General features: G+C 36.3%; 2 protein-coding genes across 2 annotated transcripts; both read left to right on the forward strand.

Annotated features, from left to right (window-relative positions):
* The first annotated feature begins 1,013 nt into the window (after nt 1-1,013).
* Nucleotides 1,014-4,225, forward strand: OR2J1 (olfactory receptor family 2 subfamily J member 1). Its single transcript, NM_001348294.2, has 2 exons — nt 1,014-1,382; nt 2,284-4,225. The coding sequence occupies exon 2, from the start codon at nt 2,467-2,469 to the stop codon at nt 3,403-3,405; it is 939 nt and encodes a 312-aa protein (NP_001335223.1). The 5' UTR covers nt 1,014-1,382; nt 2,284-2,466; the 3' UTR covers nt 3,406-4,225.
* OR2J3 (olfactory receptor family 2 subfamily J member 3) lies at nt 9,582-16,294 on the forward strand. Its single transcript, NM_001005216.4, has 4 exons — nt 9,582-9,819; nt 10,061-10,178; nt 10,348-10,399; nt 13,405-16,294. The coding sequence occupies exon 4, from the start codon at nt 13,415-13,417 to the stop codon at nt 14,348-14,350; it is 936 nt and encodes a 311-aa protein (NP_001005216.2). The 5' UTR covers nt 9,582-9,819; nt 10,061-10,178; nt 10,348-10,399; nt 13,405-13,414; the 3' UTR covers nt 14,351-16,294.

Below are 26,866 nucleotides of genomic sequence, written 5' to 3' on the forward strand. Positions count from 1 at the left end.
GTTTTGTACTGAGAACACCACACCAGGACAACTTGAAGGGCATTAATTGCAACTTTGGGATTTATACTCCCAAAGGCCCCAGTCAATGAAAGAGTATCCCATTATTCTTTTTGGTTCCATAAAGATTCCATTTACTCTGGGATAAAGGGTCCATCCCCTGATACCTTGAATGCTCTAAAGTATTCCCACATTCTGCTAAAAAGCAGATCTTTTGGACAAACTCAGGCTCTCTTTTCTGTAGCAATGACAATCACAGTTATTTCCAGACTCTGTTCTCCATAGTTAGATTTAAAACATTGGCAAAAATGTTATAAGAAGGCAATTAGGTTGATGTTTCTAGGTTGCATGGCAACCAGAGAGCCCCTTCATCAGTTTATACATGATGAGGTCGTAGGCCAGGTAGAGAGTGACAGGGAACAGGGACAAACACAGGAAGGTCAGTACTGAAAGAAGTTGGCGCACTTCTTAAGGGGTGTACAGCTTCTGTATTTCAAAATTGCAGGAAGTGTAGATTTTAAATGTTCTTACTACAAAAAAATGATGTGTGTGAGGTGATAGGTACATTAACTAGCTTAATATAATCATTCTATGATGTATATACATATCAAAACATTACAATGTACTCCATACATATATACAATTATTACTAGTCAATGAAAAAGTAAGAAAACAAACCAGATATAGTATAAAGGAATGAATATGACACGAATTGGGAAAATGTCTCTTAGTAATAATTGGGGAAAGAAGAGACACTCAGCCATCCATTTTCCCTACAGTGTTTGATTTAAAAGAAGAGAGAAGATATTTTATTCCATAGTTCATAAAAGCTACATTTGATAGGGTCTTCATTTCCCTCTTTTCCTCCAAGAAGAAAATCGAAGCTGCAAACTTTTCTCTACGTGAGTTCTGGGTTTTTTTTTTTTTTTGTCCCTTATTTCCTATCCTTTTTATCGACTCTGGAAGAATGCTGAAAGATGGTTTATACAACAGAAAAATATCAGATTTCACCTTTTAATTACTGTAGTAAGGAAGTCAGGCAGCTGCATTAGGAAAGAAAATTATACCTGCATTAGCAAAAGTATCCACAACATTTGAGTTCAAGTATCTTACAGAATATTACCTTTCAACCTAGCGAAATTTTTAAAAAAATTCTTGCAATTTTTCCATGATTTCTCAAAAGGTAATGATCATTTCATTATCAACAATATGGAAAAGTGTACAGATATCTTTGTACCTGTCTGGAGCATCTGCACAGACTTGGCCCAAGTTCAACGTTCCTAGCTCTCCAGCTGTAACTCAACTAATTAGGCAAACCCTTACATCTTTTTCAAGAGTCAAGATTAGAATATTTGAGTTGTTAAAAGTTTTTCAAAACACTGAAGGTGAGTTGGGTGTAAATAAATTTGTCTTTTGTCATATTTTATCAGAGAGTATGAGAGGAAGAGTTGGCTGTGGCAGGAGGGGAGCAGAAGGGGGATGGCAATGCTATTTAGGAATATTGAAGAAAACCCAGAAATACAAGTTGTGACTCAGAATTTAAAGTATAGTTCAGTTATTGGCCTAAAGCATATAAAATTTTTTAGAAACCACATTTAAGTCTTCTTGTCCCTGTCTAACAATCCTGTGTTATACATTCTTTCAATTTCAAATGCCACATTCTGACCTCCTCTTCACTGTTGTGCCTCAAAGCACTCTTCCTTTCTCTCTTACACCTCCCGGTGTTTTTGTTAGACTCTGTAATCTTTCTGTCTTCCAATAATAATTATACCCCCATGTAACTTTGGAAGCACTCTATCACTGATATCTCTACTCTATTTCACTTTATTAATCAGCTTTGCTTATATTGTGAATTTTTATAAGTTGGTGTGTGTGTGCATGTCTGTTTAAACCTTCATTTGCATGTTATTTTATTCGTCTAGAAATAAACTGCTAGCATAAATAAATGAATATCATTTAATTCTTTCTATAATCATATCCAATTATTTCTTTTCAGTTCATATTAATATTTTAAAGTGACTACCTAATTGCTCTTTAACATGGGAAGTTCCTATCTATAAGTAAGATTATTATGGCTGCAGTTATTCCTTTCTCTGTAACTGCAAAATTGGAAATAGTCTGAAAATGCAAAAAAAAATCAATTTAACTTTTTAAAATAAAAAATTATTTTCTTAAATATTGTCTTTCTGATTATGGAATATCTTAGTCTTCATTTATCCAAATGTTAACTCAAGGATGTATATAAAAGAACTCAGTAACTTGAAAAGCTATTACTTGTATCCACAGCTGGACAAATATCTCAATGAAGCATACAAAGGAAACTGTATAAAAATTCTACTGCCATAATGGTGCACACTATCTGGAATTGGGATACTTTTTTCTCCAATCTGTTTGCAAGTGAGCAGTTGGCAATGCATGGACAGACTTTGAGTTTATGCGATTCTTTCTTTAGGTACAGGAAAAATAAGAATGTTGATGAAAAAAAATGCAAGTTTTGAAGACTTCTTTCTTCTACTTGGATTTTCTAACTGGCCTCATCTGGAAGTAGTTCTCTTTGTGGTTATCTTGATCTTCTACTTGATAACACTGATAGGAAACCTGTTCATCATCATCCTGTCATACCTGGACTCCCATCTCCACACTCCCATGTACTTCTTCCTTTCAAATCTCTCATTTCTGGATCTCTGCTACACCACCAGCTCTATCCCTCAGTTGCTGGTGAATCTCTGGGGCCCGGAAAAGACCATCTCTTATGCTGGTTGTACGGTTCAACTTTACTTTGTTCTCGCACTGGGAACCGCAGAGTGTGTCCTACTGGTGGTGATGTCCTATGATCGTTATGCAGCTGTGTGTAGACCTTTGCATTACACTGTCCTCATGCACCCTCGTTTCTGCCGCTTGTTGGCTGCGGCTTCTTGGGTAAGTGGTTTTACAACCTCAGCACTTCATTCCTCCTTTACTTTCTGGATACCCCTATGTAGACATCGCCTAGTGGATCACTTCTTCTGTGAAGTTCCAGCACTTCTGCGATTATCATGTGTTGATACCCAGGCAAATGAGCTGACCCTCATGGTCATGAGCTCCATATTTGTTCTCATACCTCTCATCCTCATCCTCACTTCCTATGGTGCCATTGCCCGGGCTGTACTGAGCATGCAATCAACCACTGGGCTTCAGAAAGTGCTTAGGACATGTGGAGCCCATCTTATGGTTGTATCTCTCTTTTTCATTCCAGTCATGTGCATGTATCTCCAGCCACCATCAGAAAATTCTCAAGATCAAGGCAAGTTCATTGCCCTCTTTTACACTGTTGTCACACCTAGTCTTAACCCTCTAATCTACACTTTCAGAAACAAGGATGTAAGAGGGGCAGTGAAGAGACTAATGGGGTGGGAATGGGGGATGTGACAGGGAAATCATGTTGGCTGTTGTTTTTCCTAGGGTCTTATCCATTTTGAAAGGTTGTTTCCCTGCTTCTTTGTGATTTGTGTTTCATCTAACAGCTCACAAAACATGGAATAGTTCAGTTCCCCCATTTGTTGCTCTGTTTAATATTTAGTTCTGAAATATTATGTTGAGATAAAGGTTTTGATTAGTACCATTTTGTTCTTTTACAATTCTATATTTATTTCCATGAAAATTGTGGACTGTGGTTTCAACATAAATAAATGTGTGTGTGAATAATTATGAGGAGATTATTTAAAAAATATTGGCAATATTTCTGACAATGTGCTAAATTATGAACTGACCATTGATATGTATAGGAAGAGAAGGGCAATATTGCAAAGATGTAGGCTGAAGAAGTTTTTGGTTATTAAATAAACCTTAAATGAAGCTAAAAATAGTCACAGCAAAGAAAAATAGTAAACATAATGAATAACACCATTTATTATATGGTAAAGGATATGTCATAATTTTTTGGTTGAAGTTCACTTTTTAAAGACACTAAATTATATAATTTATCCTGTAGGTCTGCATTCTTGTCACATTGAACAGTAAACTAATATCTCTTTAAAATGGCTGATTCGTTCATCTGTCCATTTATTCATTAACTTATTCTTCATTAGCTAAATCTTACTGGACATGTACTCTCTCCCAGTTTGTGAAATTCTTGGTAACATGTATAAATATAACATACTTTGTCTGAACAGAATGCACTCTCTATCGGGAAAAATGGCAACATAAGATAAAAGATGAAGTATCTGTACATGGCTTAATTTGTCACTGGGGTTAATGCTAATAAATTAAGATAGCTTTTAAAAATCAGAAACAATATACTCTGATTACTCTTCAGATTGTATACATCTTTCACTTTTTAAAAATCGAAAGCAAAACAATAAGTTTGATAATAAACTCTGATAATAAATTCATAGCTCCTGTAGGAAGACAGTGCTATTAAATGAAACAAAGCAGAATATGTGCTTAATTTGCTTTAGTTGGCCTAGTTAATGACATATTAAAGATAGCTTAAAACTCTTAACATCCTTGTTCTTTGCTGAATAGCATTATTAAAAAAATTTCTTTATTTTGATTTTATTTTTTCCAGCTTTACTGAGGCACAAATAAAATAACATATATTTAATGTGCACAATGTGATTATATATAAATCAAACCAAATTGTGAAATTATTACCACAGTCAAATTAACACATCCATCATCTCACATCGTTACTGTGTGTAGGGGGAGCGGGGAGGGTCAGGACACTTAAGATCTAATCTCTAAGCAAATTTCAAGTATACAGTACAGTATTATTAACTATAGTCACCATAATCTACATTAGATCTCCAGAATGTATTCATCTTATGACAGAAAGTTTGTACCATTTGGCTGTCTCTCCACTTCCCACCCTCCAGCCCATGGCAACCACCATTCTATTCTCTGCTTCTATGGGTTCAGTTTTTTAATTTTTTTGATACACGGTCTCACTCTGTCACACAGGCTGGAGTGCAGTGGTGCGATCTTGGCTCACTGCAACCTCTGCCTCCCGGCTTCAAGCAACTCTCCTGCCTCAGCCTCCCCAGTAGCTGGGACTACAGGCACCCGCCACCACGCCCAGCTAATTTTTGTATTTTAGTAGAAACTAGTTCTCACCATGTTGGCCAGGCTGGTCTTGAACCCCTGACCTGAAATGATCCACCTGCCTTGGCCTCCCAAAGTGCTGGGATGACAGGCGTGAGCCACTGTTCCTATCCGAGTTCAATTTTTTTAGATTCCACATGTAAGTGTTATCATACATCTTTTGTCTTTCTGTGTGTGGTTTATTTCACTTAGCACAATATCCTCCAGTTCATCCATGTTATAACAAATGGCAGGATTTTCTTTTTATTGGCTGAATAATATTTCTCGCTGTGTGTGTGTGTGTGTGTGTGTGTATGAGATCACATTTTCTTTATCCATTCCTCCATCAATGGATGCTTAGGTTGTTTCTTCATCTTGGCTGTCATGAATAGTGCTGCAATGAACATGGGGGCATAGATACCTCTTCGGAATACTTACTTCATTTTTCTTGGATAAGTACCCAGTGGGATTATTGGGATCACATCACATCTCACACAGACTTCACAAAATATGAGAACATAGATTCCTCCTGCCTCCGTGGAAATCTTACCATTTGTAATATGTCATGTGTCACTCCAGCTTCTCAAGATCTACAAGACTCTTTTCTTTTCAAATTTATTGAAGTATAATTTATGTACAAAGAAATCTACACATTTTAAGTATATAGTTCAATGAATTTTTTTATATTTTCTTTTTATTGTATTTTTGTTAGACATCAAATATTGGATTTAATAAGCTATCGGAAAAAGTGTATAATTATAATCCTTTATACTGTAACAGTACTACACAACTTATAAAGCACATTAATATATTTTGTTTCATTAGAATTTTGGTCATCATAGAAACCCTAAAGCTTTGTTGACTATTAGCCTCTTGAAACAAAAGAAAAATAAGATATAAACATTATTGTTCCTATGTTAAAGATTAGGAAATTGAGTCTCAGAGAGATTAAGTAGTCTTGTCTAAATGCACGCACTAATAAATGGCAAATTTGAGTCTCAAAGACAGGTTTCTCAATATCAAATTGAAAGAATAGTTCAGTGAGTTTGACAAATGTATAATTGTGTAAATGCCACCACAATCAAGATTATAGGACATTTCTATTACTCCCCAAAGAACTTCCGTTTTGTAGTCAACTTTCCCCTTTTAGTCATAGCCTGAGGCAGCATTAATTTTCTCTAAATGTACTTGGTTTTTCCCACTTTTAGAATTTCAAATAATTGCAATCATGCAGTGTGTAATCTTTGGGTGTGGCTTGTTTCATTTAGCATGATGTTTTTGACATTTATTATGTTGCCACATGTATCAGTTACTTTTTCCTTTTTATTGCTTGTTAGAACTCCATTGTACGAATGTGCGACAATTTATCCATTTATCTGTGAAGGGCTTTGGGAGTATTTAAAATTTTTGGCTATTATGAATAATGCTGCTATGAAAATTTGTATACAAGTGTTTGTGTGGATGCATGTTTTCACTTAATTTGGGTAAATACCTTTTATTTGTACCTCTCCAGGAGGACCACATGCTTAGTGTATATTATCTTTATGAGATACTGCAAAAATGTTTTCAAGTGGCTGTTCTATTTTCACTTCAAACAGCAGTGTATGAGAGTTCCAAATGAACTCACATTCTTTCTAATACTTGGTATTGTCAGTTTTTATACTTTTCACCTCTCAAGTTAGGTTACCTGTGGCTATAATTTGCATTGAGGGGTGTTGACATTGACCATCCTCTTGTGTGCTTTTCATATGCTTCATATATGTTATTTTGTGTAGCTTCTGTTCAAATATTTTACTCACTTTAAAAATTGGGTCATTTGTCTTCTTATTGTTGAATTTGAAGTTCTTTGTATACTCTGAACTCAAGTCCTTGGTCAAACAAATCTTTTGCAAATAGAATACTGTCATATCTTTCAAAGAGAAAAATTTTAACTTTAATAAAATACAGTGTGTCATTTCCACAGAAAAAGCCTGGTGGCATTTTGATTGGGGATTGCATTGAATTTATAGACCAATTGGAGAAGAACTGGCAACTTGACAACATTGACTTTTCTGATCTGGGGACATGATATAGATCTCCATTTACTTACATCTTATTTTCTTTCAGAAGCATTTGAGGTTTTCATTGTATAGCTATTGTCCATATTTTGTTAAAGTCACCTCTATGTATTTCATGTTTTTAGATACCACTATAAATTGTATAGAAATATGACTGATTTTTTTCCATCGTCTGTTTTATTTTATTTTATTATTATTTAAGTTCTAGGGTACATGTGCACAACGTGCAGGTTTGTTACGTAGGTATACATGTGCCATGTTGGTTTGCTGCATCCATCAATTAATCATTTACATTAGGTATTTCTCCTAATGCTATCCCTCCCGCATCCCCCCCACCGCCCCCACAGGCCCTGGTGTATGATGTTTCCCCCCAGGTCCAACTGTTCTCATTGTTCAATGCCCACCTATGCGTGAGAACATGTGGTGTTTGGTTTTCTGTTCTTGTGATAGTTTGCTGAGAATGATGGCTTCCAGCTTCATCCATGTCCCTGCAAAGGACATGAACACATCCTTTTCGATGGCTGCATAGTACTCCATGTTGTATATGTGAATTTTCTAGGCCTTAACTCCAACTGAGCTTCCCATCTACAATGCTTTAATAGTTTGTGATCTACTCTAATTCACATTCCTCCCATACAAAGCACTCAAATTAACAGAAGCTCAACAGAGATCATTTAGTGTCTTTTATTCCTTTTGATTCCTCAGATGTGACTTTCAATGTGTTTTATTTATCTGAGTGTGTATTGTAGAGAAAAAAGTTGAGGGTTGCTTCCTTAGAAATACTTTGCTGTAATTAAATCATGTTATGCCAGCTGTATTTTCACAAGTTACTAACATCACACCTAAAAATGTTAACATTTGCTGGCACCCAGTAGATTGGCAGGGGCCAAAAACTCTCCTACAATTCTAGTTACCAAAACATGAAAAATATTGGAGCTTGGTACAATCTCCTACAGACCAGGATATCAGACATTTCCTGGATTTTGATAACTGATTGAATTCTGCTAGTCCCCACAGGTTGTAGGATCACTGGTCAAATTCCTCTCCAATAAGATAGAGAAGTTTAGACATATGATTATATGACTATTTAATCATATTTATCTTAAAAATAATATTTAATATATTTTAAAGTAAACTGGAATGATATATACCAAGCTCATGGTAGTTGTCTCTGGATTTAGTGTTGGGTCAGAGAGTGACAGTTGAAGGGGATATGAACTTTATCTGTGATACTTTATGTGCTAAAAATTCTGAAAATAAAAATGACAAAAGTTATGGTTGATGATTCTGAATGATGGGAACATAAGGGTTTATTTTTAATATTTTAAATATCTAAAATAAAGGATGAAGAAATAATATAGAATGACTTGTTAAAATATCACTTCAAATTAAAATTCACTATAATGGTAATAGCAGCTAACATGTATTGAATGATTATGCACTAGGCATCGAGGATAATGTTTACGTATTTTTCACATGGAGTTTTCACAACAATCAAGACTACTGAAGCCAAGACTGTTTTCAGTTGCTTCACATAAGTGGACAGGAAAATACCTGATCATGCTCTTAAAAGTACTGACTTTAAAATATAATTGTATTGTAAATGTGACTTGATTTTCATACCAAGACTTTGTCTGGTACACATGGAATATATCACCTAGACACAATGTAACAATTGAAAAATCTTCATTAGTTTATAAACTCACGATGTGCTTTTTTTTTTAAACATGGGATGTAGGCTAGCTATCACAGCTAATTTAGCTTTTTTATATATTTCTGCAAAGCTTTTAACAAGACATCAAAAGAAATTATTGATAACAATATTTTGGAAATATTAAATAATTTTGTTAAAAGTTTTCTGAGTTTGGTAGTGACCTTCTGAGTATAGTTTGAATGGTCTTCAAAGGTAATTTTTAACACTTTTGCAGGGCTGAACTTGGCCTTGAATTTTAGAGATGTTAGACACAATTAAAAATTCAAATTAATAAAACAAATATGTATAATGTAGTCATTATATTTCCTTTTAAAAAATGTTTCATGCCTTTTCCCATTCCCAAATTAGACTACCTAACAAGCTATATCTCAAATTTGGCCTCTAGCATACTGAAGAATTGGGGAAGAGGTTTCAGGTAACTCAAGATAACCCATTCCCTTCCCTGCAGATACAGCTCAAAGTATTTTTCTCTGCTATGGCTGGACTATAGATTCCTTGTCATCCTCGTACAACAATGTGGCATCATGCCAAGAACATCACTGAGAAACTGTTCTAACCAGGATAACTCCTTGAAGGGCATTAATTGCTACTTTGGGATTTACCCTCCCAGTGGCCCAAGTCAAGGAAAGCAAGTCACATTCTTTTGTTTCCAAAAAGGGCCCATTGACTCTAAGATAAAGACCCATCCCTTGATACACTGAAAGCTCTAATAAGTTTATCTTTTGGGTAAAACTAAATTTTTTTAGTAGACTCAGAGCTTTCTCTTCTGTAGCAATGATAGTCATAGCTACATTCAGACTGTTTTCCTAATTGATGTAGTAGATGAGGGAAGTGTAGGCATTTATGTTGGTGATTTCAAGGTGATCAAAATCAGAGATCAGATCAGTCTGTGCATGATGAGGGCATCAGCTAGGAAGACAATATACAGGGAATGTGGACAGATACAGGAAGGACAGAGTGAAAGGCATTGTTTGAGTACTGCTTAAGTACTAGGTAATATATAAAGAAATATTATGGTAAGAATAAAAAAACTTGGCCAGTGACATGGGGATGGGGAAAAGAGATTATTTTCTCCCTCCGTTATACCTGATTTCCAAAACTAGAGAGGATCACTTATTCCTAGTCCATGAAAGCAACTTTTAACTTTTAATTTTTGTGGGTACACAATAGGTGTATGCATTTATGGGGTACATGAGATTTTTTTTGATAATTTCTTTCTTTTTATTTTTTGTAGAGACATGGTCTCACTTCATTGCCCAGGCTAGTCTCGAACTTCTGGGCTCCAGAGATCCACCCACCTTGGCCTCCCAAAGTGTCAGGATTACAGGTGTGAGCCACGGCACCCGACCCAGGTATTTTTGATACAGGCATACAATGTGTAATAATCACAGCAGGCTAAATGGGGTATCCATCACCTCAAGCATTTATCCTTTCTTTGTGTTAAGGATAACTTAAACTTTTGATATGGCTTTTGATAAGGCTTTTAACTTTTGATAAGGCTTTTATTTTCTGCTCCACCAGGAAGAAGAAAATTAACCCAGAAAAATTCCTACCTTTTCCTTGCTTGCATCTGGTAAGTTTTTGTTTGTTTGCTTCTTATCTCATATCTCATTCTAACCTCTCTATGTAAGATTGCTCAAAGATGGGTCATGCAATTGGCAAAGGTATCTCACAGCTAAATGTTGTTTTAGTTAATGTAATAAATTATCGAGGCAACTGTACAAGAAAGAAGAAAATTTTATCTGCATGAGAGAAGGTAACTATAACATTTGTGTTCATATTTCTCATGATGTATTATCTCCTATTCTAGAGAAATTTTTAAAAATCTCTTGGAAAATTTTCATCTTCCCTCAAGGGCTGTGACCTCTAAGTCAAGTAATCTTCATGATTTACTCTTTGACTATTGCTGCTTTTTGATTCAGCTATAGCTTTTAAAATTTTCTTTTAAAACAATGTGCAGACTGATTTTCCTGGATGGTTGTTTAAGTTGTTGAAAGTAATCTAGATTAGTGTAACAACTGGCTAATGATTATTTACATTACCAAGTCTGTTAAAAGGTCTGAGGTCAATCTTTTAATCTTGGGACCAAACTGAATGTTCCAAACTTTTCTGCTGAAACTCAACCAATTAGCTACTCCTGACATTTCTTTCAGGCATTGAATTTATAAAACATGAGCGATTAAGAGACCCCTAAAAGAGGCAATCACAGGTGGCCCCACAATGATTTCTTTCTTCCTGTGCCATAGCCAATTGGGAGGTATAAGAAAAATAACTGACTGTGGAAGGAATGAAATAGAGGGCATGTGGCAAAGCTGGAAGAGGCAAAGAATTCAGAGAAAATGGGGTATTTAAATGGTGGGTTGCTATGCCTGACACAATAACTATATAACAAAAATAAGTATCATTTTTTTCTATGAAAGATTGAAAACTCACTGGAGAAAAAGCATCACCTAGGAGTCATAACTATTTGTAAGATATATTTTATTTTTAACAAAAAAAGTAACATGAGATTCACTGGGCACAATGTATTAAATGATGAACAGCCACTTAATGATTCATTAAATATTCAGAACTCTCTAACTTGGAGAATAAATATGTACTAATTATAGCTCATGCTCAGAATTTATATACTATCTAAATTATTGTCCTGGAGAAAAATACATCATGTAGAAACCTTCTTCAGGCCCTGTGGTTCAGCTTCTTGAACGCTGTGATAGACACACCTGCAACTCTAAGAACTACACTCAGGTTCTCCTCCATTTTCCTGCCCCTCCCACTTTTCCTTCCTTCTCTGTTCTCTCACTGAATTTTTATCTTCCTTTCCTTTCTGTAAAGTTTGAATCTTTTCAAATTCAGTTGTAGTCACACATCCTTTAGAAAGCATTCTATCACTGTTCTCCCCAGATTTTTAGCTTAGTTCGTATCATGAATACCCATATATTGATGAGCAAGTGTCTGTGTCTTCTCTACTTGTATTCAATTTTTCAGTTTAGAAATACATTTTGAGTCCAAGTAAACAAATCACAAGATAAGATTCTTATCTAATTGAAGCTAAACATTTTTTCTTTAGGCGAACATTTTGAAATGACTAAATTCAATATTTTCCACATATCTTTTCATCCATATGTAAGATTATTGTGATTGCAATGATTACGTTTTCCACAATCACATTTAAGAAAATAACCTGAAAATGCTGAAAAGAAAACTAAAGTTCCTTATTTATTAACAAAGAAAGATTTTGTGTTTTATGGAAATTATCTTCCTTAGCTAGGTTAGGAATTTCCTTCAATTACCATTTACCTAGATGTCACCCTAAAATGAATGAGAACTTGATAGTTATTTTTCTATAATAAGGCAAACATCTAAATAAAATATAAAATTAAAAAATTATTTTGTATTTTTGTGACTTTTTATTATGGTAAAATTTCAAACTTAGAGAAGAGTTGCAAAAAAGTAGTACAAAAGACTAACATTTACCCTTTTACCAGATTGAGTATTAGTTTACATTTTCCCCCAAAGCTTTGTTATATCATCTATCAACTATCTATCTATTTATCTATCTATCTATCTATCTATCTATCTATCTATCTATCTACCTATCTATCTCTTTTTCTGGGCTAGTTGAGAGTAAGTTGGAGATGACACGTTCCTTTATGCCAAATACTTTATTCAGTGTTTTTTGTCTAAGGAAAAGGATGTTACTTTACATAAGTCCAGCACAGTACCCAAATCAGCAAACTTAATATGGGCACAATATTATTATCTAATCCATAGTCCACACTGAGATTTCTTAAATTGTCTCAATAATTTTGTTAATAGCTAGTTTTTGAAAAAATCCAGGATTGTACACTGAGAAATCACATCTCACTAGTCTCTTTTCATCTGGACCAGTTCCTCACCCTTTGTTTTTCTACTTAAACTTGATACTTTTCTGAATTGTATAGGCAAGCTATTTCTCTCAATTTGAGTTTTTCTCATGTGTCTTCATTATTAGAATTAGTCTTCATTATTAGAATTTTTAACACAAATATCACTGAAGTGACAGCATGTCCTGTTCAGAGCATCATCACAGCAGGCTCATGATGTTGGTTTGTGCAAATACAGTTGATCTTAAGATCAATAAAATCACTGGTTATGGTGGTGTCTGACAGGTTTTTCTACTACAAACTTTACTGTTTTTCAGTTTGAAATTAACTAGAAAGTTGTGAGGAGATATTTTAGACTATTTTAGATATTTGTACATATTCTGTTCCCCATCAAATTTTTATCCACTAGTTTTTGCAATCATTTATGTTTTTCTTAACACCGTCACCCCTTCTATATTTGTTAATTAGGGATCTACTGTAAGGAATAGCTTTATCTTCACCATTCATTTATTTATTCTTTTACTTTTTATATCAGTATGAGCTTTATAATTCTTCTTTTGTTAAATTCATTACTACTAATGGTTAAATTGTCCTACAATTAAATGATGGCAAGCCCTTCAAACTGGCTTTTATTTTTTATTCATGTGTGCTGATATTTTTGGATCATTTGTTTACTCGTTTTTTGAGTTTACCTTTCTTTTTTTTCTCTCAGGTAATAGGAAATGAATGATGATGGAAAAGTCAATGCTAGCTCTGAGGGGTACTTTATTTTAGTTGGATTTTCTAATTGGCCTCATCTGGAAGTAGTTATCTTTGTGGTTGTCTTGATCTTCTACTTGATGACACTGATAGGAAACCTGTTCATCATCATCCTGTCATACCTGGACTCCCATCTGCACACACCAATGTACTTCTTCCTTTCAAACCTCTCATTTCTGGATCTCTGCTACACCACCAGCTCTATCCCTCAGTTGCTGGTCAATCTCTGGGGCCCGGAAAAGACCATCTCTTATGCTGGTTGCATGATTCAACTTTACTTTGTTCTCGCACTGGGAACCACAGAGTGTGTCCTACTGGTGGTGATGTCCTATGACCGTTATGCAGCTGTGTGTAGACCTTTGCATTACACTGTCCTCATGCACCCTCGTTTCTGCCACCTGCTGGCTGTGGCTTCTTGGGTAAGTGGTTTTACCAACTCAGCACTTCATTCCTCCTTCACCTTCTGGGTACCTCTGTGTGGACACCGCCAAGTAGATCACTTTTTCTGTGAAGTTCCAGCACTTCTGCGATTATCGTGTGTTGATACCCATGTCAATGAGCTGACCCTCATGATCACAAGCTCCATATTTGTTCTCATACCTCTCATCCTCATTCTCACTTCTTATGGTGCCATCGTCCGAGCTATACTGAGGATGCAGTCAACCACTGGGCTTCAGAAAGTGTTTGGAACATGTGGAGCTCATCTTATGGCTGTATCTCTCTTTTTCATTCCGGCCATGTGCATGTATCTCCAGCCACCATCAGGAAATTCTCAAGATCAAGGCAAGTTCATTGCCCTCTTTTATACTGTTGTCACACCTAGTCTTAACCCTCTAATCTACACCCTCAGAAACAAAGTTGTAAGAGGGGCAGTGAAGAGACTAATGGGGTGGGAATGAGCCTGTGTATGTGTCATATTAACAATATAACAGAGTCTCCCCTCACAATGATTCATCCTTCTATTTATTTATCAACCATTCTTTTATTCACTCACTCTGTTAGCACTTGCTGAGCATGTACTCTAACAAGGTCGTGGAGTTCCTGGTAACAGGTAGGAATAAAACACAGTCAGCCTAAATACCATTCACTTGTGGAGAAAACAGCTATGTAAAATCAAGATAAAACATCTATAGTGATGTTTTTCCATGGTACAAACCTAATGTATCCAAGACAGACATTTCTCGATTGAAAATAAGGCATGAAATTTGTTGTAAATCTTGATAAAAGCGAAGCTGTAAATCCTATGAAAAGATGATACTCTCAATTTAAAAATCTCTACAATATGTCTTTTAATTTCTTGCTTTTTGGGCAGAATACTTTTGTCTTCTATCTTTAGTTTAGTTAAATACACAGCAAAATACTTCAAATCCTTTTCTCCAACAATGCTTATTCTTTGTCGGATAGTAAATTTTGAGAGGAATTTTGGTCCATATTCTTTCATATCCAGTATCAATAGTAGAACAATAAGTTTTATGAATTGTAGTAAGAGAGGCTTTGAAACAGTATAGCAGAAGTCAGCATCTGAGATCCCTCTTTTTTGCAAGGCAGTGAGAAATATATAGGAAGTAAAAGGAGCTGGTAAAGCTGAGCTATGGAGCTTATAAACAAATGGTCATCATAGGCTAGGTATACTTAGGTGAGGTAAGTGCTTGGAGCAACTGCATTACCTAAGGAACTAAGGAAAACATTTGAGGCAAATAGAGAGGCTCTGAAAATGACTTGAAGCCAATGGGTGTATGAAAGAATTATGTGAAAATATATTGGAAAAATTTTATGATAGAAACTGTCATATGGAAAATGATAGCTTATTTTTATTTTAAAGCTTGATCTAATTTGAGTATTTATGGTTAATAAGTATATTATGTATGTCAATATATGTGTTTCAAATAAAGAAATCTATTTTATAGAAGTAATCATTTTGTTTTATATATTATTGTCAACCATCTTCGTTTGAAATAATTGCGCTATACCTAGAGCAATTTAAACTGACAGTCATAGTCAAATGAAGCGGAAAAATGGCTAAAGGAGAATTCAGTATAAAGTAACGTACTTGCAATGCCTGAGTTTTCTCTATAACTCAAATGTCAGCTGTAGCTTTTGAGGCCTGTGAGATTTAGATATGATTGATTCACACACTATTTCCTAAATTATTATAAAAATAAAAACGCATCTCAGAACTTCCCTCCAATTTCTAGTGTGACTTGCAATTGCATTGATTCTGCTGACTTTATCTTCCTTCTGCATCTCTGACTCTTCCTTTATTTCTAACTAGGCATGAAAAATATGAGGCATGTGCCCTTGTCCTTAACCTTACCCAAGAAGTGAAGAACCAAGAATAATGTATGTAAAATGACTTTTAGCAAGAATTGGGACCACATACGGTAAAACATCACATAAAAACACATTTTTAAAAACTTAAAGAACATAACTTCGCCCTTTGAACTGTTTTCTACTATGGAAATCTTACGATTTGGAGCACTTACGGTAGCATCCTGGTTTCTCACCTACTCAAATATCCCCCCCCTCCCCATCTTTATTAAGGATAAGTGAAAAAAATGTATTTATTTATAATATACAGCATAATGTTTTGACATATGCATAATTATGCAATTATTACTCAAGCTAATTAACAGATCATTAACTCACATACTTACCTGTTTTGTGGTGAGAACATTTAGGATCTATTATCTTAGCAGTTTTCAACTATGCAGTACAGTATTATTAGCTATAGTCACCATACCGTAGAATAGATCTCTTGAATTTGTTCCTTCCATCTGAAACTTTGTACCCTTTGACCAATATCTCCCCATTTTCCCTATTTCTCTCCACTGCTAACCCCTGACAAGCATCTTTCTGCTACTCTGTGCTTCTATGATTCATTTTATGTCGATTTCACATATGAGATCATGCAGTATTTGTTTTTCTGTGCCTGGCTTATTTTACTTAGCAAAATGTCTTCAGGTTTGCCATGTTGTTGAGAATATTAAGACTTCCTTCTTGTTTTCAGGCAGAATAGTATTCTATTATATATATACTACACTTTCTTTATTCACTCATTCATTGACAGACACTTAGATTGATTCAATACCTTGGCTATTATGAATTTGCTGTCATAAAGATGGGTGTATAGATAGCTTTTCAACATAGTGATTTAATTCTTTTGGATATATACCTAGAATATATACAAATGGATCATACGGTAGTTCTATTTTTATTCATTTATTTTTAATTTATATATTTATTTATTTATTTATTTTTTATTTATTTATTTATTTATTTTTATTATACTTTAAGTTTTAGGGTACATGTGCACATTGTGCAGGTTAGTTACATATGTATACATGTGCCATGCTGGTGCGCTGCACCCACTAACTCGTCATCTAGCATTAGGTATATCTCCCAATGCTATCCCTCCCCCCTCCCCCCACCCCACCACAGTCCCCAGAGTGTGATATTCCCCTTCCTGTGTCCATGTGATCTCATTGTTCAATTCCCACCTATGAGTGAGAATACACAGTGTTTGGTTTTTTGTTCTTGCGTTAGTTTACTGAGAATGATGATTTCCAATTTCATCCATGTCCCTACAAAGGACATGAACTCATCATTTTTTATGGCTGCATAGTATTCCATGGTGTATATGTGCCACATTTTCTTAATCCAGTCTATCATTGTTGGACATTTGGGTTGGTTCCAAGTCTTTGCTATTGTGAATAATGCTGCAATAAACATACGTGTGCATGTGTCTTTATAGCAGCATGATTTATAGTCCTTTGGGTATATACCCAGTAATGGGATGGCTGGGTCAAATGGTATTTCTAGTTCTAGATCCCTGAGGAATCGCCACACTGACTTCCACAATGGTTGAACTAGTTTACAGTCCCACCAACAGTGTAAAAGTGTTCCTATTTCTCCACATCCTCTCCAGCACCTGTTGTTTCCTGACTTTTTAATGATTGCCATTCTAACTGGTGTAAGATGGTATCTCATTGTGGTTTTGATTTGCATTTCTCTGATGGCCAGTGATGATGAGCATTTTATATATTTAATTTAACTTAATTTTTTGAGATGGAGTCTTGCTCTGTTTCCCAAGCTGGAGTGCAGTGGTGGGATCTCTGCTCACTGCAAACTTTGCCTCCCGGGTTCAAGCGATACTCCTGCCTCAGCCTTCTGAATAGCTGGGACTACAGGTGTGTGCCACTGCACCGAGGTAATTTTTGTATTTTTAGTAGATATGCGGTTTCACCATGTTGGCCAGGCTGGTCTCAAACTCCTGACCTCGGATGATCTGCCCGCCTCGGCTTCCAAAGTGCTGGGATTACAGTTGTGAGCCACCCTGTTTGGCAATATTTTTAATTTATTTAGGAACCTTCACAGTGGTTTTCATCATGGCTGTCCTAATTTACATTTCCAAAAACAGTGTATAAGGATTCCCTTTTCTGCATATTCTTCTCAACATCTGTTATCCTTTGTCTTTTTTCATAATAGACATTCTAACTGATGTAAGGTATGAGGTGATATCTACTGGTGTGGGCCTGGACTTTAGGTCCACTGGAGCCTAGAGCAGTGGGGACCATCCCCCTGAAGCCTGGAGCTGGTGTGGTGCTAGAGTGGAACTTACTGCCTTGGGGGCTGGTCTGGAGTCCGGGTTTATGGGGCCCAGCTTATATGTACTGGTCTGGAGGCTAGATCCTTGGGTACTGGCATGGGTCTTGGGGCTACAGAGTCTGACCTGGGGGGCCAACTGGCACTGGAAAGTCCTATTTTGCCATTTTATTGATACCACTTCTCACTATCTAAATTCTTTTTTTTTCTTTTTAACTTTCTGTGCTCTTTTCTCCTTTTTCTCTTACAAAACATATACATTTTCTTTTATATGTATAGACTTTTCATTTTCTTTTGGGAGGTTATAATTATAGTATATCTAATGTTGAATCCTAGCCATATTAGCCTGTGCTGTGTAATTTGTAATCTGAGAAATAGATCAGTTACCAAAAATTCCACCAAAGATTAACACTGGTATTACTGTTTTTATTGTTTTGTACTTTTCAAACCAGTCGAACAGACTTTATGCAGTATTATCACAGATAGGACAACAGGAATGAGTTTTCTCACTTTATCAAACTGAAGGGAAGAAAATAGGTGGCTTGTATAACTTCTGGCAACTTGTATGTGAAAAAATCAGGGTAAGGACAATACATTTTTAGCTCTGACAACCCATTCCTATGTCAACAACACTGAAGGCAAAATAGAAGCCCTGAGATGCTCCCCTTGTCAGCCCTAAACCTTATGAAAACATTTGTGAACTGGGATTTCCAAAGCACACATGAATTTGTATGGCAAGCAACTTTACTGAAGAACTAACAGTGAAGCCAGCTTTTTCCCAGATAGGAATGAAGGCTAACCTCATGGAAGCATCAGCTTCTTTTGCCCTGTAAATTTCTCCTCCCCATTCAGACAGATGTCTCCCAGTCTTTGTCCACTGTATCTTATACTTGTTGCTGTGCAGCATATTCTTATATACATGCTCAATTATCTTTTCTTATTTTAACTCTGCAGTACAGAATTGTTGGCACAAATATGTCATCCAGGTAATCACAGAAAGTAGCTCTGGCTTCCAGCCTAGGTACACTCCGTCTGTATTCTGCTATGTAGCTCAGGTTCATATCTCCTATTTTACATATGTGAGGCTGGAAAGGTGATTAGTGATCATATATTATGAAAACACTACATGATTTCAAACATAAGTTTCAAATACAAGTGATTATATACCAAGTATCATCCAACAATCACAAAAAAACTCATGGAAAAGTTATAAAAATAGTAGAAAGACTTACCATTGAGCTTCACCAGATTTAAAAAATCTTAGCATTTCAACATGTATGGTTTATCATTCTCACTTTATACTAATGTTAATATGCATTTAAATTTTTTTTCTAAACTATTACGCTGTAATGCACATGTTCCCCTAGGTTGTCACAAGAATATTTCCTAAAAAAGTATCTAATCCAGGATCATAAGGTGGCAGTGTGATGTCTCTTTTTTCTCTTTAATTGGGAACCATTCCTCAGTCTGTCTGTCTCTTCAATGCACCTTATAGTTTTGAAGAGTGCAGGCCGGCCATTTACTTTAACAAAATAATTGTTTTTAACAAATAAGGGGGATTTATTGCTTATAAAACCAAAAAGTTCAGCAGTAGTGTGGGCTTCAGGTATAGCTTGATCAGTGCTCTGGATCAATATCTCTGCAGTTTCCTCAGCTATGTCCTCTTCCATGTATTGGATTTGTCATCAAGTTGATTCCCCTCACAATCACGAAACATTGTCAGCAATAATCAGGCCTATATGCTTCCTTGTTCACATTCAAGAGGTTGAATATCATCCTATAATCAATGAACAAAAATGGCTCTTTATACAGAGCTTCATACTGACGCATAAGTTGTCTGCACATTCCTGGCAACATGTTTGGGACAAGGGGCGAAAATGCAATGATTGGCTGAGATTAATTGGGGGCCACTTCTGAAGCCAGGTTTTCAGTGAAAGGGCCATATATGCAAAGCCATCTCTCAAATGCACAAAGAGCAGATAAATCAAAGAAGGAGGCAGACAAATCTAGCTTGTTGGTTTGGGGTGATTTACTAAAGGAATTTACAGACATATATGTTGTCTTGGGTGGCCACAACATAGTTAGATTTTGCACTGCAGTCCTCCAGATCTAGGGCTTATCTTTTGAGGAAAGTATACTTGCTCTGAAAGAAACATGTAGGTAGCTACAGGTGCCATGGACTATGCTTCCTACAACAGCGTCAAGGGTTGTTTTGGAGGAAACTTACAGTGAATACATGTTCCTACATAAAGAGTAATATATCAACTTAACATCTTATAGGGACTCAGGGTTATTCAGAAGTTACACGGCAGATTAGCATTTAAAATAAAGTCACTCTTGCTCCTGCACTGGGGGTGGGGTTAATTTCATCCAAAGCACATGCTACACAGTGTAGGTGAGATGGGATAACTATTGGGAGGCAACAGTAATATCATAGTCTCTATTGTCTGCATGAGAAAACTGACCACAACAGAGCTAGTAAGTGATGAAGCTTGGATTCAAATGTGGGCTTTCTAACTTCATAGTTTGTTCTTAATCACTAGGCAATTGTTCCTCCCTATAGACATCTGAACTCTTTAAAACAAGAAGGTGAGGATTCAGTATGTACATTTCTTGGCTCTTTGCAACTTGTCATGGGAAGGTCTTCATTTTCTCCTATTCTTTGTTTTAACACCTAATATTTGAACCACACTGAATTTATCTTACTCTCTTACTGTCCTGAGGATGTTCACAAGAACTTTTCCTTCAAGGTTAAAATGTGTCACTCATACCTCAACCAAACATTTCATATTTGCAGCAATTATGCTTATTCACATAAGGTTGTAAATTCCTCAAGGCTCAACCAATGGCTGAGAAGTGTTTTGGGCCACTGTACCTTTAACAGGCCATTGGTGCATGAAGAACATCAGCGACAATGTCATTCTCCTAGACCACTGGGCAGTATCTGCCATATGTAGGCCAGTCGTTATTTTTTATTACCATTATTACTAATTTTTACTATTATTACTATAGTGGTTTCCAAATAATGATTCTTAAAGTTCCATCATTCCTTCTAAACTTATTAGTTTGTGTGGTAGGCTAAATACTTCCTCTCCTTGTCGCAAATGATCACACCCTAACCTCTGGGACTTGTTATTATATGTTACTTTACATGGCAAAAGGATTTTTATAGATGTGATTAAATTCAGAACCTTGAGTTGGGATTATTATCCTGAATTAGCCAGGTGGGCTGACATAGTCATATGTGTTCATATAAGAGGGAGGCCAGAGGTCAGAGAGAAGATAGTCTGCTGCTGACTTTAAAGAAACAGGAATGGGCCATGAGCCAAGGAAAACAGGTTGCTTCTAGAAGCTGGAGTAGTTGAGAAAACAGATTCTCTCTGAAAGCCTACAGAAGAAATGCAGCCCTGTAGACCCAATTTAGTATTCCTATCTCCAGATACATGATATTTTTGTTATTTTAAACACCAAATTTGTAGTAATTTGTTATAGCAACAATGGAAAACTAATAGAGTTGGCATTCTATATGAAGGAATAGCTTTCCTTTTTCCTGTGTGTGTGTGTGTGTGTACGTGTGGGTATCAGGTATTATTTATCTATGTGTCTACCTATATATCATAATATGGTCTTATGCATTATTATTTCATTCTGTCATTATTTTGATGCTGAAATGGTCACTGTTTTGGCTAGAGAGGACCCCTTCCAGTTGGCTCATATATCTTTTTTATATGTCTCCATACTTCTTAAGGCCAAGATGGGCAGATCACAAGGTCAGGAGGTCCACACCATCCTGGCTAACACGGTGAAACCCCATCTCTATTAAAAATACAAAAAAATTAGCTGGGCGTGTTGGCGGGCGCCTGTAGTCCCAGCTACTCGGGAGGCTAAGGCAGGAGAATGGTGTGAACCCGGGAGGCGGAGCTCGGTGCCACTGCACTCCAGCCTGGGCAACAGAGCGAGACTCCGTCTCAAAAAAAAAAAAAAGAATTTCTTACTGTTGGCAAACTGAGACGATCTTAACATATCTGACACTTTTCTTTGGGAGGAATAGATAACTTTGTTTATCTTAGGTCAAATGACAAAAACTTTGAATAAAGTACTGGGGTTTCCTAATGAACAATTCACTAGAAATGCATGGAATAGATAACACCAAGGCATGGTAATATTGTTGACAAATATTTATTTAGTTATAACATCACATTTCTTTACCCACTCAGGAAATGGAAAGTTTTTGTATTGTGCTTGAGAGTGAGGCAATGGTGAAGAACAGTGACTGGCTATGGGTTTGGGGAGTCATTTGGCAGGAGTGTAAATCCTTGAAATTTGAAAATCTTTCAAATTATCTTGATTCTCCTCAACAAAATACTAGCAAACCAAATCGAACAGCACATAAAAACCTAATTTCTTAGCTTTTTGATGAAATAGCTGTTTCCTCACCTTTTCTATCGTCTAGAGGTAACCTACATTCCTTGGCTCATGGCCCATTCCTCTATATTTAAAGTCAGCAGCGGAGTATCTTCCCTTTGACTTCTGGCCTCCCTCTTATATGGACACGTGTGATTGTGTCAGCTCACTTGCCTAATCCAGGATAATATCCCCATCTCAAGATTCTGAATTTCATCACATCTATAAAGTCCTTTTGCCATGTAAAGTAACGTATAATCACAGGCTCCACAGATTAGGGTGTGATCATTTGCATCCCAGGGAAAAAGCCTACCATGATCCCTTGTGTCCCAGGGATAAAGCCCACGATGATCAAGTAGGCTTTATCCCTGATAGGAAAGGTTGGTTCAACATATGCAAATCAATACATGTGATTCATCACATAAACAGAAATGAAAACAAAAACCACATGATTATCTCAATACACGCAGAAAAGGCTTTCAATAAAATTCAACATCCCTTCATGTTAAAAACCCTCAATAAACTAGGCATTGAAGGAACATACTTCAAAACAATAAGAGCAATCTGTAAAAAACCCACAGCCAACATCATACTGAATGGGCAAAAGCTGGAAGCATTCCCCTTGAAAACTGGCACAAGACATGGATGCCCTCTCTCACCACTCCTATTCAACATAGTACTGGAAGTCCTGGCCAGAGCAATCAGGCAAGAGAAAGAAATGAAAGGCATCCAAATAGAAAGAGAAGAAGTTAAACTATTCTTGGTAGCAAAAGACATGATTCTGTATAAAGAAAACCCCATAATCTTGGTCCAAAAGCTCCTTGATCTGATAAACAACTTTAGATAAGTTTCAGGATATAAAATAAATGTACAAAAATTTAGCATTCCCATACATCAACAACATCTAAGCTGAGGCCTAAATCAGGAATGCAATCCCATTCACAACTGCCACAAAAAGAATAAAATACCTAGAAATACTGCTAACCTAAAAGGTAAAACATCTCTACAATGACAATTACAAAACACTGCTAAAAGAAATCAGAAGTGACACAAGGAAATGGAAAAAACATCCCATGCTGATGGATACTAAGAATCAGTATCATTACAATGACCATACCGTCCAAAGCAATTTATAGATTCAATGCAATTTGCTATCAAACTACCAATGACATTGTTCACAGCATTAGAAAAAAACTATTTTAGAATTTGTATGGAATTAAAAAAGAGCCCTAATAGCCAAGGCAATCCTAAGAAAAAAGAACAAAGTTAGAGGCATCACCTTACTCAAATGATACCAGAGGGCTACAGTATCCAGAACAGCATGATACCGGTACAAAAACAGATATATACACCAATGGAATAGAATAGAGAACCCAGAAATAATGCCACACATCTACAAATATCTGATCTTCAACAAAGCTGACAAAAACAAGCAATGGGGAAAGGACTCCCCATTTTATAAAGGGTGCTGAGATAAGTGACTAGCTCCATGCAGAAGATTGAGACTGGATGCCAAACTTGCACCACATACAAAAATCAATTCAAGATGAATTAAAGACTTAAATGTAAAAATGAAAACTGTTAATATAAAAACTCTGAAGATAACCTAGGAAATATCATTCTGGACATAGGACTTGGCCAAGATTTCATGCCGAAGATGCCAAAAGCAATTGCAACAAAAACAAAAATTGACAAATGAGGCCTATTTAAACTAAAGAACTTCTCACAGTAAAAGAAACTATCAACAGTGGAAACAGACAGTCTACAAAATGAGAGAAAATATCTGCATACAATGCATTTGACAAAGGTCTAATATCTGGCATCTAGAAAGAACTTAAACAAATTTATAAGAAAGAAACAATGCCGTTTAAAAGTCAGCAAAAGACATAAACAGACACTTTCCAAAAGAAGATACACATGCGGCCAAGCATATGAAAAAATGCTCAATATCATTAATCATTAGAGAAATGCAAATCAAAACCGCAATGAGATACCATCTCGTACCAGGTGGAATGGCTATTATCAAAAAGTCAAATTATTAATAACAGATACATCAAGGTTATGGAGAAAAGGGAATGCTTATACACTGCTGGTGGGAATGTAAATTACCTTAGCTATTGTGGAAAATGGTGTAATGATTCCTCCAAGAACTTAAAACAGAACTACTCTTCCACCAAGCAATCCCATTAGCGGGTATATACCCAAAGGAATATAAATCATTCTACCATAAAGACATATGCACGAGTATGTTCATTGCAGCACTGTTCACAACAGCAAATACATGAAATCAACCTAAATGCCCATCAACAGTAGATTGGGTAAAGAAAATGTGGTACATAGACCCCATGGAATACTATGCAGTCATAAAAAGAATGAGGTCATTTCCTTTGCAGCACCATGGATGGAGCTGCAGGCCATCATCCTAAGCAAACTAAATGGAAAAGAGCCAAATACCACATGTTCTCACTTATAAGTGGGAGCTAAACATAAGAACACATGGATACTAGAAGGTGAACCACATGCACTGGGGTCTACTTGACGGTGGAGGGTGGGAGGAGGAAGAAGATCAGAAAAAATACCTATTGAGTACTATGCTTATTACCTGGATGATGAAATTATCTGTACTCCAAACCCCTGTGATGCGCAGTTTACCTGTATAACAAACCTGCACATATACCCATGAACCTAAAATAAAAGTTAAAAAAACCTAAACCCCAAATTACCTTCAACCTTCATGAGTTTTTACATTTGAAAGTTAAATCGATAACTTAATGACAATAATTCAACTCTCTCATGCTTATCCCCCTCATCTAACCCAAAACAAAACAAGATTGGATACTGAGGTGAGGAACCTTTGAATTTTTAAATAGTATTAGGTCTAGCAGAACCTCAGAAAGACACGTTTACATTAAGAGGACTTTGACTATTGATATGGGCATGTAAGTTCTTTACTGCCACGTTCCTAGTAATTCCTGAATTGCACATGTATGAAATGACATTAATTCTCTCATACTTTAGGGTTGCTTGTCAGTGCCTAGAAGGAATACAGTCTCTGTGGCCAGTCTTCCTGGATCAACAAGAGCCTTGTAGTTTCCCATTTTTCATGTGCTAATAGTGAAAATGTTTAGAAAGCCCCATCTATCCTCCCACATTGGCATCCCACTGATGTGCTGTCCTGGTTGCTAGGTGCAGATTTAGGTTCCAAGCAGAACACTGCTAGTGTTCTCTGCAGTTTGTTGTAGAATCATAGTGTCTTGGCAACCAAAGGCAGATCTGGTGCTATGGAGGACCTGCTTACTGCTATGAGGTGTTACTTTATAGAGGTCCTGGAGAAGCTGATTGAGGCCACGTCAATGTTGCAAGGAGACATGAGACTCACATCAGAGTTCTATGGCTTAACATGGGGGATGGTGGTAAGTGCGGCTCTATTTGGATTTTGTAATTATAAAAGCCCACTTTATGTAGAGAGAAAAAAAAGAGTTTACCAGAGAAGTTTCTTCTGTAGTTGAAGACAAATGTAATGTTTTAATAAATTAGGCTGATTAAAAAAGAATATGAGTTTGGCGTGCTGGCTCATGCCTGTAATCCCAGAACTTTGGGAGGCAGAGGCGGGTGGATCACCTGAGGTCAGGAGTTTGAGACCAGCCTGGCCAACACGGTGAAACCCCATCTTTACTAAAAATACAAAAAATTAGCCGGGCTTGGGGGTGTGTTCCTGTAATCCCAGCTACTTGGGAGGTGAGGCAGGAGAATCGCTTGAACTTGGAGGCAGAAGTTGCAGTGAGCCGAGATAGTGCAATTGCACTCCAGCCTGGGCAACAAGAGCAAAACTTTGCCTCTTGAAAAAAAAAAAAAAGTGTATGAAAAGCTAAATTATTTTTCATGGAGTCCTGCCCTGAGAACAAGGCATCAAATCCTCTAAGTGTATAGGAAATTTGAGTTCAAAATAGATGCTTTGAAAAAAATAAAGAAAATGTTTTTGAAAAATGCAAATTTTAACAGATTTAGGGTATAGAAGTGCAGTTGTGTTCCATGGATATATTTACATAGTGAAGTCTGAGATTTCAGTGTATCCATCATCCAAATAGGATACATTGTCCTCAATAGGTAGTCTTTCATCCCTCAACCCTTTCCCAACTTCCCACCTTTTGGAGTCTCCAATGTCATTATTTCATTCTGTATCCACATGTACCCATTGTTTAGCTCCCACTTATAATTGATAATATCTAGCATTTGGCTTTCTGTTTTTGAGTTATTTCACTTAAGCCAATGGCCTCCAGTTCCATCCAAGTTGTTATAAAAGACATGACTTCAGTCTTTTTATGGGGAAGTAGTATCACATTTTAGAAATCCAATAGTCCATTGATGGACACTCAGGTTGATTCTATTACTTTGCTATTGTGAATAGT

Source organism: Homo sapiens, chromosome 6 (genome assembly GCF_000001405.40).
Source record: "Homo sapiens chromosome 6, GRCh38.p14 Primary Assembly".
NCBI lineage: Eukaryota > Metazoa > Chordata > Mammalia > Primates > Hominidae > Homo > Homo sapiens.

Excerpts from the sequence above, each read along its gene's own strand:
- OR2J1 (NM_001348294.2), top strand. The coding sequence starts at position 2,467 with ATGTTGATGAAAAAAAATGCAAGTTTTGAAGACTTCTTTCTTCTACTT.
- OR2J3 (NM_001005216.4), top strand. The coding sequence starts at position 13,415 with ATGAATGATGATGGAAAAGTCAATGCTAGCTCTGAGGGGTACTTTATT.